Raw genomic sequence first — 14,332 nt, 5'->3', positions numbered from 1 at the left:
TTTAACTTGAGGCAGAGGAATGTCCAAAATTACAGACAGATGCCCAAAGAAATGATGTATTATCATATGTAAAGTAGGCATACCCACATACATACATTTATTCTACCTACATAAGCTATGTGGGCAGAAAAAACACTACAAAGATATGTTCATGTGGAGCTTTAAGCAGTGAATTTTAGATATGGGATTCATTTCAGCAAATACTAGTATATATTGGAAAACTTGCAATGTGCAAACCATTGTGAAAAGAGCAAACTCTGAAAATAGGTGTGGCTCATGTCTTCAAAAAGCTTCCAGGATGTGGGAAGGATGCACAGAAAAAAAAACAAAACAAATATGGTACATGCAAAGAAAACAAGTAACACACTTCAAGCAATAAGTCCTGATAACATATGCAAGAATGAAATTACATTTATCACTGCATGATGCCATATCATATTACACACCTATTATATACATATATGTGTATATATATGTTACATATGTTGTCTTTCTGCTTATTTGCTTACTGACATTTCATTACACTAGAAGGTAAGTTCAATGAGGGAAAGCACTTTACTTGAATTTTTTCAGTTCTGTGTGACTGAAACATAGGAGGTACCCATTTAATTTTCACTGAATGAATGAACAAATAAACCTACAGAGAGTGGAGAGGATTTCATGGAAGGGAGCCATCGATACCAGAAACCTGGATTTGATGTTGTATGATTCCCTTAAGACTCTTCTTTTGTTCCTGCAAAATTCTATACAAGATACTAGCCACATAATAGGTATAATTAAATATTTGATTTGGGTAGCTTCCCTCTTTGATATTCAGTCCACCATTGGCTTGAGTGATTTTCTTGGAGTATCTACAGTTTGGAACTTTTTCAGATGAACATTGTGGAAGCAGAACAGTTTGCCACAACTCACTAAACATATCATGACAATAAGACATATTCACAGGTTCCTACTATTTATGAAGTCATGTAAATATACTATGGTAAGGTTGACTGAACAAAGTAGTTGCACTGGCTGCAAAGGACACTGATATATGAGAAATAGAGGAAAATTTGGGGGAGCAAAAACAAGAATATGATTACTTCTTGATTACCATTTTAATGACTTAACAATCATACTTCAAAATTATTAAAACTTCCTATTGAAATATCCCATTGATTTTCAATTTTTGCCCTTTTTGCTATTCTATATGACATTATCTTTGAGATTACAGACAGCAAGATCGAAAACCACTCAGACATCTTAATCTTTCCCAACATAAGCTTCTCTGGGCTGCAAATGGTTCTATTTCTCTTGAAATAGAAGAAGGTAATTTAGTTCTTGAGACATTTCAAATCGAATATTTATTTTAATTATAAATGTCCCTTTTTGAGAAACAAGATTGTAATACTTTGCTCAAATTTTTAAGAATATTTGTGATTATATTGTTGAAGCCGGCAATCATATTTAATTCATTTGAAGTACTGAATGCAGTTTAGACAATCAAATCAACTCGTTTATATTTTGTAATGTTTCATTTCAAAATTTTGTTAGTGTTCGGCATCTTCATTCGAAAGCAGGTTGCAACTCAATCCACCTTTAATTTGGACCCAATATAAGCATTTTAGGTTGCTTTTTATCTCCCTTTTAACATTATTTGCAGCATCAAATTCATCACTCAAATTCTTTCATTTGTTTGTTTTCAAGATAACACTGAGATTTGCTTGCATTTTTCTATAATCAAATACTTAAAAATGTCCTTGCAAAAGTTGTGCACCAAACTCTGGACATTTACAGTTCTTTTATGAGTGTCTATTTCTTTCTTTTTTAATTTTTTTTTTTATTTTGAGACAGAGACTCGCTCTGTCACCCAGGCTGGGAGTGCAGTGGTGCAATTTCGGCTCACTGCAACCTCTACCTCCTGGGTTCAAGTAACTTTCCTGCCTCAGCCTCCCAAATAGCTGGGAATACAGGCATGCACCACCATGCCCAGCTAATTTTTGTATTTTTAGTAGAGACAGGGTTTCACCATGTTGTCCAGGCTGGTCTTAAACTCCTGGCCTCAAGTGAGCTGCCCGCCTTGGCCTCCTAAAGCGCTGGGATTACAGGAGTGAGACACTACGCCCAGCCCTGAGTGTCTATTTCTATTCCTGTTGTTTTTTTGAAGGAAATTGTGCTGTGATAGAACACCTGTCTTTCCTTTTATACCTGCTCTGCAGCCATCTTGTCTTTGCCCTTAGACTGTCCATCAGTGAAGGTCGCAGGTGATTTTGTAGCCCTTCTTCGTCAGAACATCCCAGAGCTGTGTGTGAGGACACGTGGAGGACATCTACCCCAGTCCTCCTGGGGAGAGTGGGGCGTCTAGGAATTTGCCTTCGGAAGGAAGCTGCCTAGATGTTTGCTTTGCACACTGAAGTTTGAGGCCATGGGCTTTCTGAGTACCCTCCACTTTGTTTACACTGCAGTCAAAATGATTTTTTCAAAATGCAACTCTGACCTTTTACTTGTCCACATACTTCTATTCTATGTTCTCATAGAACCCAGTACCTCTTTTTCAAAACATTTGTACAAAATTTAAATATATTTGTTTTCTGATTTCACATTTGTCTGATTAATTGCTTAATGCCTGTCATTCCTATTCTGCAAGAGCAGGGACTGGCTATGTTTTTGTCCAACACAAAGTATGAACACAACAGATATCTCTTTGATAGTCAATTATATCGCTGCACTTAGCACTGAGGATACAAATTTAGGTTCTGCCCTTCTAAGACTTGTGGACTATAAAGAGCCAGGCCTGGGACTGCCATTATAAGGCAAAGAAATAAATAATACTTGATGGTAATACAAAAGTATGGACAGGAGCAAAGGGCTCATCCTTGGAAGTCTAGAAAGTGATGTTTGAGCTGTGAATTTCCACATGAGAACCATAGTTAGCATTTTAGCCAATTCTTTCTCCTTTGGTTCCTGAACTTTACTTTTTCTCAAGACTATGTGTTGCCCCACTATGTGTTCTTGAGCACTGAGAGAAACCACAACTCCCAGGCCACAGATGCCCCTTTGTTGTGCCGGGGCAATGTCAAGTAAGGAGACCAGCATCAGCTGAGCATCTTCTGTGTCCCTGGCTCTGTGCAATGCATAAGGCAGCTCAGTGGGTGGGATTAGGAGCACAGTTGTTAGAGTATATAGGGCTTATTTTCCCTTCTCTACCATTTGCTATCAATATAATCCCAAACACATTTTAATTAATCTCCCCAAAACTCAGTTTCACTACATGTGAAATGGAATAATGTGATTGGTCCCACAGGGTTGTTATGACATTTAAATTAAATAATGACCATAAAGTACAGAGCCAGTATTTAGTAATTGTTGTGTTTGCACTAGTAATCTTGTTGTTGTGATTGTTGAAAGAAACAGCTATCTGGGGACAGTCTGTGAGAGTATCCCAAAGAAAGAGAACATTGCCGGAGGGGTATTAGAAATTTTTGCTTGTCACCAAGAAATAGCAATCCTGTTCCCCAAAAGAATTTTATACCTTGTTATTTAGCCACAATCCCACACTATTGATCTCATTTTATGGCTCTTCTCTTATTTGTATTCTACTTAATAGAGTTGTCCTAAGTGTTAGGGTTTGCTCTATTACAATTATGAGTAAGCTACAGGTTTTAGAACATATTGATAAAAGCTGGACACCGGTATAGGAATTGCCTGGAGTAAATCAAAGATGAAGTATCTTCAGTAATCTTTCCAACAACCACCCCCTTAAATAACACTAGTTTGTGTCACTAGGGGAAAGTTTCCACTTTGAATGTATGTTCCAATCTCATACCAGGAATATATAAAATTGTAACAATTTGTTCTTGGGTTCCCCCGCTTTAAATGTCCTTCCCTGAACTTTCAATAGCCCATTTCTCCTTTCTACAGATTTCAAATCAGAGATCTTCTTTGGGGAAAGGCCTGCTTCTGACCACCCAATCTAAAGTACCTACTCATCACACTGGCTTATTTTAGTTCTCTGCACAATGGAGAACCTTTGTTTTTCAATTGTTTGTTCATTCCTTCAATTATTCATCCATTCACCTCTTCTCTACTAGAATGTCAACTTGGAATAGGAACCTATTCCAATAGAATAGGAACCTATTCCAATAGAATAGGAACCTATTCCAATAGAATAGGAACCTATTATGTTCCATTCATAAAATATGACTGGTTTTGAACCCACCACTATTGAATCCTTCAAGTGTCCGTACTATTACATGATATGGTGGTTAGGAAAACTGACCCAGTCCTCATGGAGGTAGCCTTAAGGGAGACATGTATTTGTCAAAACAAACAAAAATGGATAAGCAGATAATTTCAAATCATGGTAAGTGCTCTGGAGGACAAGAACTTTGTCCCTTTGTCCTAGACTGGAAAATTGAGGAAAGTTTCAATTGAGATCTGAAGAGTGGATACAAATCATATAAGTACATGGGGGCACACACCATGCTCACTATGCTTTTGAGCGCATGTGTGGTGGAGGGGGCCAGCCTGTCTCAGGCCTTCCTTGTGGCAGCAATAAGAACATGACAGGAACACATTCGGGAACTAGAAAAAGGCTTTGTGGGTTGGTCACAAAATGCAAAGTAGAGATGTCAAGCTAGAGAAGAATCTGGAGGTTGGTGAAGCCAGAGCCAGGAAAGGAATTGGGATGTCACTGCACATGGATGTCGTTTGAAGCCATTGGAATAGATGAGAAATAAAGGAGAGAAAGGAGTCTGAGGCATAGCCAGGATTCTCACTAGAGGTCATGAGAAGAAGGAACAGCTGGCAGAGGAGATCGAAAAAAGGCAGCCACACTCAGAATAGAGTGTGCTCGTGGCAACTGAAGGAAGGTGAGTTTCAGAAAGGAGGAAGTGGCCATTGTGTTAATTCTGCTGCAAGGACAAGGAAGATACGAAGAAAGAAATAGTCCTTAAGATAGTATGGCAACATAGGGCCTGTTAGTGACCTTGGTAAGAGCTGCCTCTGGGATGCGATAGGGTCAGACGCCCACCTGGAATGAATCACAGAATATAAGGTGAGAAAGTCAAGGCAGAAACTCAAAGAAACTCTTACAAGGAGTTAAGAATATACTCAAGCACATGCCCGTGATGAAATGTTCAAGCTAACGTGTCCATCCAATCAACAAAACCCTAAATAAGATATTTCTTAGTACAAAAAGCTTTGAAAGAAATCAAACAAAATGATCAGACCCATCTAAAATTTTGTCTTGTTCTGGAAAATTTTCTTTATGTTATCTATCTGTATGGAAAGACTTTTGGAACCTCAAGCCCACATAAATGATCTCTCTCTCGAAGGCTTATTTTTTGGTATTCTCTTTTTCTTTCTTTCTTTTTATACCACAGAATAACAGACTAAGAAAATATGCCTTTGAATTGAAAATGAATGATCTGACCTATTTTGTGCTGGCAGCTGAAACAGAGTCAGATATGGATGAATGGATCCACACCCTCAACCGCATTCTGCAAATCAGTCCTGAGGGGCCCCTCCAAGGGAGGAGGAGCACAGAGCTCACTGATCTGGGTCTGGGTGAGAGCATATGAAGCCGTCTTCCTTCCTTTGTCCAGTGTGACCTGTGTTTTTGGTTCACTAAAGCTGCTAGGCATTGTAGTTGCTGTCTGGTCTAGCTCATCCATCCTGGGGCTGTTTGTTCCAAGAATCACTAAATCACTCCTAAATCTTTACTGCACAGTAATGGCCACCACACATAAGTACAATTCAGAGTCAACTGGCAACGATCTGAGGCTTTCCCCCAGCAAATGATGTTGGGAATCATTTGTCACAGCATCCAAAATGTGCTCATGTCCAATGGGACATTACCTTATAGGGGGCATTTTGTGGTATTTTAGCCTTTCATTAAATTTAATTAATGAATCTTATGCTCTGTAAAGGCAAATATGAATTCCTTCCTTTTAGTGAAAAAGCATCTTTCATTTCTGCTTTTTGATCATACTGTGATCATCTTATATGTGAAAGTTTCAAAAATTATACATGGTGATAGAATTTTTATAAAATTAAATTTTTTTTCTCCCCATCCTAATTCCTTCATAAGGGTCTACTTCATTTTATGCAAAGAGAAGGGAACAAGAGAGAGGAAAGAAAAGGTGAAAAGGTTAGAAAAGCAAGTCTGTAGCTACATAGAAGGCAAGTTCAACACCAGCAAAGTCAGTCACTCCTCCCAAAACAAAACTATTTTCAGACATTTTGCATAGCACATGGTACATTAGAAACCAAAGCATCTTTAAGTTCCCCTAGTCTAAGTCTCAGGCTGTAGAGTGAAAGAGCCATGGAGTAATATGGAAAAAAACTATTGCTGATTTTGTTGATTTTAACACAACTACTGTATGCCATAGTAGGTGTTTTACACTTAGGATTTCCTTAATAATAACAACGATAGTATTAATGTTTACAGTGTCTTACAGAGTTTAAGTAGCTGAAGCAAGAAGGTGGATTCTAAATTGATAGCCTGAGAGCCAGAATTACCAAAAATACATACATATTTAAGAAAACTTTAGTATGCATTAATGAAGTAAGTCAAGACAACCCCAAGTATAAATGTAGTGTAAAAATCCAAAGTTCTTGTGGACACAAGATGGTATCATAGCAAGAATCCCAAAATGATCATCAGAGGGTCTGATTTCCAGGCCCAGATCACTCAACAATGTGGAGTTCAGGAGTCAGAACACAATGAAAGCTTAGGCTCACCAACGTCCCTCTTAGCTCTTAAGCCTAACTTAGTTTTGCATGTCACAGGCTAGAAGAATGTGTGACTCGTGAGTAATATTTAATAACCTGACTTGGTATATCTTTTTAAGATTCGCTGGATAATTCTGTAACTTGTGAATGCACGCCAGAGGAAACAGATTCTTCAGAGAACAACCTACACGCAGACTTTGCAAAGGTAATAAAGTTGGCATTGTACTTGCAAAACCAATTTGAATTATTTGTTAGTTATTGCTTTCATGGAAAAGACGTAAATGCTTTCTTTTAAGATTTAGACCAAGAAGCTAATTTGGAACTTCCCGTTAACCTATGTGTTTTCATTAACATACACATAGGGCTCAAAAAGGAAACATACTTTTACAAGATTTGCCAAGTGTTAATGGGTAATACTAAAATGGTGATAATACTAAGGGGCTGCTTCTTGGCCATGTGGATGTGTCAGGGGCTGTATCTGGATATTTAGATACCAAGGACTAACACAATTTTCTCTGTAGTACCTCACAGAAACAGAAGATACTGTAAAAACAACTCGAAACATGGAGAGGCTAAATCTGTTCTCTCTAGATCCAGACATAGATGTAAGTCAAAATTTTTTCTAAGCAGATATGAACTTGATCCATACAGTTGGGGATTATAATTTAGAATTTCTTTTTTATGTTGGATGTTTGGTGACTCATTCAAAACTTTTTTAGACCTTGAAACTTCAAAAAAAAGATCTCTTGGAACCTGAGTCTGTGATCAAACCATTTGAAGAAAAAGCTGCCAAGAGAATCATGATCATCTGTAAAGCCCTCAACTCAAATCTTCAGGGATGTGTTACGGAGAATGAAAATGATCCGATAACGAATGTAAGTTTCTCCTCTGTTACATCCTATACCATTAAGCCAACATTACACCACCCTAGTCAAAAATCTTTTCTATTCCTGCTAATTCCAGGCACTGATTTCTCACTCTCTAGTGTACCAGGGAATATTATTAACAGCCTTTTCCCACATTACACAAGTGTACAAGTTCTAAAGTGGAACACTTTATAATATACTGTATGAATAAAGCCTAATAAAATATTAATATACTATACTTTATCAATATACTGCCATAAAATTTTCCTTTTAACTTAAAGAAAAAGCATTAAAGGACTGTGTTTGGGGATTCTATGAAATCAGCACAGTGGTTTAGAGTTTCCTATGGCATTGTGTGTATCCTCTTAGTAGTACTCAAGATGGCTTTTTTTTTTTTTTTTTTTTTTTTTGAGATGGTCTTGCTCTGTTGCCCAGGCTGGAGTGCAGTTGCGCAGTCTCGGCTCACTGCAGCCTCAGCTCAGTGCAGCCGCAGCTTCCAGGGCTCAAGCGATCCTTCCACCTAAGCCTTCCAAGTAATGGACTACAGGCACGCACCACCATGGCCGCCTAGCTAATTTTTTTGTATTTCTTATACAGATGAGGTTTTGCCATGATGGCCAGACTGGTTTAGAACTCCTAGGCTCAAGCTACCTGCCTGCCTCAACCTCTCAAAGTGCTGGGATTACAGGCATGAGCTACCACACCTGGCCAGAGATGGCTTTTACAGGGACATTTTTATTTTACTATTTCTATGTTTATTTTCATGTGTATTAGAGAAAAATCAAAGCTAACAAACCCTGTGACTTCCCAGCCATTATTGCTGAGGACAAGACTAAACAGTGTATCAAGTAAAGTAATATTAGATGGATGTTAAATAAATACTAGTAGGATGGGACATGTAAATATCAGAAATGACAAAGGAGCTTCACTGATATTTGTGTGAGTTCTCTTGAAAACTTCGTCTTAGTACTTTAGCAGGCAGTCCCACTAGATTGTTAATGTATGTGTGGGAAGGGAACTTTTTATGAGCATAAACGTTATTAAATGTTGAATTATTTTTTAAAATCACTCATAATTCTATATCAATCTTGATTATGTTAATATCCTAATCAATATAAGGCACAGTTAATATTTTGGCATATCTTCTTTCATTCTTTTTTAATGCGTTCTGTTCAAATTTCTAATCCATCATCCCTCAATTGTCATCTTTCACCTCAAAGAGGAAAACTGATTTCCAGATCCTTGATAGGAGTCACATTGGCTTTCGAAGGCAGAAACCCCATTAAGTTTTCACTGTAAACTGGGTCCACACAGTCTCATGCCTTCATCCATTTATGATCCAGGGAAACTAGCCTTGCTAGTTGTGACAGTGAGTGGATGGCAGAAAGAATTAACCCTTTCAGAAGACTTTACTTGATACCTACTGACCTGTGTCTTTAGCACCTCAGTGATTTGCTTTGAGCCTCCTACCCCAGGTGTAGAGCAGGATAAGGTCCATGCTGTGGACCTCTGATTTAATGAGGAGACTCAAATGAGATGTGCCGTTCTGGGATCAGATTGCCTGGCTCTCCAACTCACAAGTTGTGCCACTCTGGGCAACTGGCCTACTGTCAGTCTTCACTCCTTTAAATGGAGATAATAACAATGCCTATTTCAAGTGATTGTTGTGGTTACACATGGTACCATATCAAAGGTACTCAGACATTGCTTGGTACAAAGTAAGCATTCGTTAAATACTTAACTGTCATCTAAATATGTGAGAAATTGCATTGAAATTTATCAAAACTGCATGCAAGTTATTGATATTTGTATTGATATATGTGAGATTCTTGTTGACAGGTAAGCTAAAATGGAAATGTGTCACCAATAAGAATCTTGTCAAAAAATGAAGCTGTTTTATATTCTATAACTTTGACTGTGTACTAGGTGTGAGTAGAAATGAAAGTAGTTGAAGTCAGGTTTATTCATTCTCCAAATATACTTATTCCAAGTGTCTACTGTGAGCCAAACTTGTCCTAAGAACTGGGAAAACAGGAAGTAACTAGATAAGCAAGGTCCCTAGTGTCTTGAAGATTAGATTCTTTTTGAAAACGGCAGAAAGTAAACAAGAAAACTCACAATTTAAGTGCACATTATGCAAAGTTCTTTAAAAGAAATAAATATGGAGAGATGTGTTCCAGAGGAATTCAGGAAAGGGTTACTTTAGACAGGATGGTCATGGAAGGCCCTCTCGGCAGAGGTGATTTTGAACAGAGACCTAAAGGTTGGGAAGGATAAAAAGGCAGGTCAGGGGAGAACATTCTAGGCAGAAGAAAGAGAAGTACAAATGCACCAAGACAGGTAAGCTTTAGCAAGTTCTAGGAACTGAAAAGAGTTAGGGAGGTGAAGGGTATACCAAGATGATGTAGAAGAAACAGAGATAAGATGATGTAGGGCCTTAAGCCATAGTAAAGAGTTTGAATTTATCCTAAGTGTGATTGGAAGCTATTCAATGGTTTAAAGCACTTTAAAAACAAGAGTTGTCCAAGAAGAAGAATTAGGAGGCTACTACCACCGTTTATTGCATGGCTTGAACAAGGGCTGGCAAGGGAGAAGGAGAGAAATGGGTGGATTGGACTGGTGTTTTGTAAATTGGGCTGATAAGCTTTCCTAATGTATTGGATATACTGGATAATGGAAAAAGAAATCTCAAGGGTGAGTACTGGTTTTTGTTTTGGACGGTTTTACACATTGTGATGCCATTTACTAAAATGGTAACACGGGAGGGAGATTTGCACAATACAGGTCAAAAATACCATTATGAACATGTTTCACTTGTTGGTACTATTAGATATCCAAAGAGAGATGTCTTAGGGACAGATTCAAATGCAAGTTTGGCGGCCAGGCACGGTGGCTCACACCTGTAATCCCAGCACTTTGGGAGGCCAAGGCAGGCAGATCACCTGAGGTCAGGAGTTCAAGACCAGCCTGTCCAACATGGCAAAACCTTGTCTCTACAAAAAATACAAAAATTAGCTGTACACAGTGGCACACGCCTGTAGTCCCAGCTACTTAGGAGGCTGAGGCAGAAGAATCGCCTGAACCCAGGAGGTGGAGGTTGCAGTAAGCCGAGATCATGCCACTGCACTCCAGCCTGGGTGACACAGTGAGACTCCGTCTCAAAAAAAAAAAAAAAAAAAAAAAAAAAAATGGAGTGGCCATGAATGGAAATACAAATTTGGAAGTCTAGTTCAGACAATGATGTTGGTTGGGGGGAGAGGGGCGGGATCTAAAAATATCTATGACCATAGAGAAGGGGCCAGGAACCAAATAAAATATCTGAAGAATGAATAGAGAAGTGACCAAAGAAGACTAAACAGGGATGGCTGTTGGGATAAAGATAAACCAAGGAATACTGTATCATGAAACCAAGAGCAAATGGGTAGCTATGGGATTGGTGCCAAGAAGCTGAGGAACATGAAGTGAAAGAGGAGTCCATCTGGTAGACATGGCAAAGTGGAGGATGTTGATGACTATGGCAAGAGCAGCTCCCATGGAATGCAAAGTGTTAGGAGTAATCTGATCATGCTTTCAGGCAGGATTTTAAAATAAAAACAAAACAAAAATCTAGAAACTTAGTCCTTGAAACCATTTGGAAATACCTGTATTAGTCTGTTCTCATGCTGCTAAGAAAGACATACCCAAGACTGTAATTTATAAAGGAAGGAGGTTTAATTGACTCACAGTTCAGCATGACTGGTGAGGCCTCAAGAAACTTACAATCATCATGGAAGGGGAATCAAACATGTCCTTCTTCACATGGCGGCAGCAAAGGGAAATGCCAAGCAAAAGGGGGAAAAGCCCCTTATAAAACCATCAGATATTATGAGAACTCACTCACTATCATGAGAACAGCATGAGGGTAACTGCCCCCATAATTCAATTACTTCCCACTGGGTCCCTCCTATGACATGTGAGGATTATGAGAACTACAATTTAAGATGAGATTTGGGTGGTGACACAGCCAAATCATATCATTACCTCAAATGGTAATGTCACTTAGTCACCTTGTTAAATAAAAATAGATGCTTTTTTTGACCCAGAACATATTTAAATGTAATTTAAAATGCAATTTAGAAACTGAAAATCAAAGATAGTGGGCTTTTCTTTCTACTGCCAGGGGCATATGACTCCTTCCACGTGAATTCCTTTCTTTGTACTAAGACCCATATTCAGAAGCCAAATGTTTGTATTTGGGCCAATCTCCCCAGGCAAGAGAACACAGCCAAGTACAGAGAACCAAGTTAGTGTGTCCTTTGGTATCTGTCAGGCCAAAGGGTTAAGTTGATTTGGAGTGTTTTGTACGTCAGTGTTGTTTTTCATTTTACAGTTGATACATATGTTGAAAAACTAGGAAATTACTTTAGAAAAATAATTTCATTGTGCCTATAAGCAATAACACAAAAAATAATGTCAGCCTCACCTTCACAGCAGTTTGTTATTTAATACCATTGTTTTTTAAAAATCAGTGTTTATTTATTCACTGACACTCTTTCATTAATGAATCTATTTTTAAACTCATTGTTCTTAATTCAATGAGCATGTTTTAAATTAATTGAAATATTTCTCCAAGCTGCTTAGGAGCCAACTACTGCATTTAATGAATGAGATTCTGAAGACTCCCTGAAATAACATCCTCATGATGAGAAAACAATGTTTGACAGCATGTAATTTTTTAGTCAGTAAATTGAAAACCAAATTCAAGTTGATGGTTTTGTAGTATAAAATATTTCTTTGAAAATAGAAATTGACTCCAAAAATCTGAACTAATAAAGCTACATCACAGTAGAACTACATTTAAAATTTTATCTTTGCGAGTTTTTTTCAGAAGAGTACAGAATTCTAAACACAAGAAACCTATGAATTAATTTGTTAGGCTTTGCAGATGCTTTGTTAAATCCTCACTGGAAAGCCAGTGATTTGACATTTATTTTGAAAAGGTGGATTGGAAGAAAGAAATGAATCACCACATGAGCTTTAATTTTTGATGGGTTATCAAAGTAGGTATTTATTTCCATTCACAAAGTAGAAATGAAAATCAAAATGCAACAATTCAGGAAAAAAGATGGGTTTTGCTTTGACCTTCAATGTGTTTTGAGTTCCCACTTTAGTTGTTTTTCTGTAATTTTTGCATTTTTCAACTCTTGGCAGACTACTACTACCACAAAACAAGAGTTTTTCTGTATTAATTTAAATTGGTATACTATAAACTTTTACTTTGTAATTGCTTTATATTTTAAAAAATAATTTATTGAATTTATCTTATATGCAAAAACTTTTTTCTAACAGTAAGGGAGCTGGCAAGTATTGCTAATATTAAGAAATTGGACTTGTCCCCCCCGTATAAACTAGTCACATTACTACATTTCAAAAGATAGGAGATACTGTTAAGCATTTAACAAAACCCACAGTGTGAGTGAGTCTGTGTAGTAATAAACTGGATCACAATAGGGTGTTTCACTATAATCTGTTTGCCCCTAGAATACTGGTAGAGATTGGCATCAACTCAAACTTAAGTAGCATTTTAAAACAGTAAAAATGCTAGTTTTTATAGGCGTATTCCAACTTTAATCACATAAATGTGTAACTACATATATGTGCATGTATGCAATATATGTATATATGTACATATATGTATGTAATTACATATGCATATATTAATTTGGTCTTTGTCTCTGTTGTATGTGACATTTTTCTAGTTGACCATTCTTTCCTTCTTGAATCTTTCTTTGCTTCTGTGATACTCTGGCAACATTTAAAATTTTTTCATTTGTTTTGTAAAATTTTTCCCTACTTCCCAATCCATTTTATAAGTTGTTTTCCCTACTCCCATCTCCATCCTTTGCATGTTGATACTTTCCAGAATCCTGTTCTGATTTTCTTCTATTTCATGGATTCAACAGGACCCCACACACAAAAAAAACCTCTCAGGCCCAGCTCTTCAGCCCAGTTTCCTTGACTTGGCTCAAAACACACATCCAACTGCCACTGGGATGTCCCGCAGATGACTTTCTATATCCCATTTGGAATTCATCTTTGTATCTTTATCCCCTATATCAGCCAATGGTATGACCATCCACTTCATTTCCTTTATCCTCAAACCTGGGAATTTTCTGTATTCATGCCCCTGTGAAACATTTTCTCCAATCAACCAAGACAAACACATGCAAAGAATATCCAAGCTCTTTGGTCATACTTCCTTAATGTTTCTCAAATGCCTCTCCCACAAACGCTTCCTACCAATTTTTCATTTTCCTCCACTCTGATCCCACTCTAATGTTCTTTTCCTGTGCTCTTTGATGTCTTATGTCTTTGCACATGTCACACACCCTACCTAGAAATCCCTTCTAACCAACTCTGTACCTAATTCCTACTTCTTTAAAACTTGACCAAGAAATGTCCCCTTCTTCTCATCTTCCATATCTTTCCCATTTTCACATCTTCCACTTCCTAGCCTGGGGGCAAGAGGTTAAGAGGAAAGCCACATAGAGGCATGGATTTGGGTGAGCACCCAAGAATTGATGGGGAGAGAAAGCCATGAAGAGGGACAGAAGCAGCCTGTCGTGGGTGTGTTGTGATACAGGTGCAGGGCAGCCCAGAGGAGGCAACTAGAAAAGATGGCTGATATGGTTGGGAGACTGGTTACTTTGAACCAATAAGTAACTGGTTGAACAAGTAAGTAAACAGATTCATGGTAATGAGATCCCGCATTC

At 37.9% G+C, this 14,332-nt stretch overlaps 1 protein-coding gene across 23 annotated transcripts in view; it reads left to right on the top strand.

Annotated features, from left to right (window-relative positions):
- DOCK10 (dedicator of cytokinesis 10) overlaps positions 1–14,332 on the top strand; it is a 277,379-nt gene that overhangs the window by 160,884 nt on the left and 102,163 nt on the right. For all 23 annotated transcript variants that reach the window (XM_047444930.1, XM_047444929.1, XM_047444922.1 and 20 more), the window contains exons 8-11: positions 5,364–5,547; positions 6,834–6,919; positions 7,236–7,319; positions 7,434–7,589. In XM_047444930.1, coding sequence (XP_047300886.1) covers positions 5,364–5,547; positions 6,834–6,919; positions 7,236–7,319; positions 7,434–7,589 — 510 coding nt within the window. The remainder of the gene's footprint in view (positions 1–5,363; positions 5,548–6,833; positions 6,920–7,235; positions 7,320–7,433; positions 7,590–14,332) is intronic.

Source organism: Homo sapiens, chromosome 2 (assembly GCF_000001405.40).
Source record: "Homo sapiens chromosome 2, GRCh38.p14 Primary Assembly".
Taxonomy (NCBI): domain Eukaryota; kingdom Metazoa; phylum Chordata; class Mammalia; order Primates; family Hominidae; genus Homo; species Homo sapiens.
This window is presented reverse-complemented; position numbering and strand designations above follow the sequence as displayed.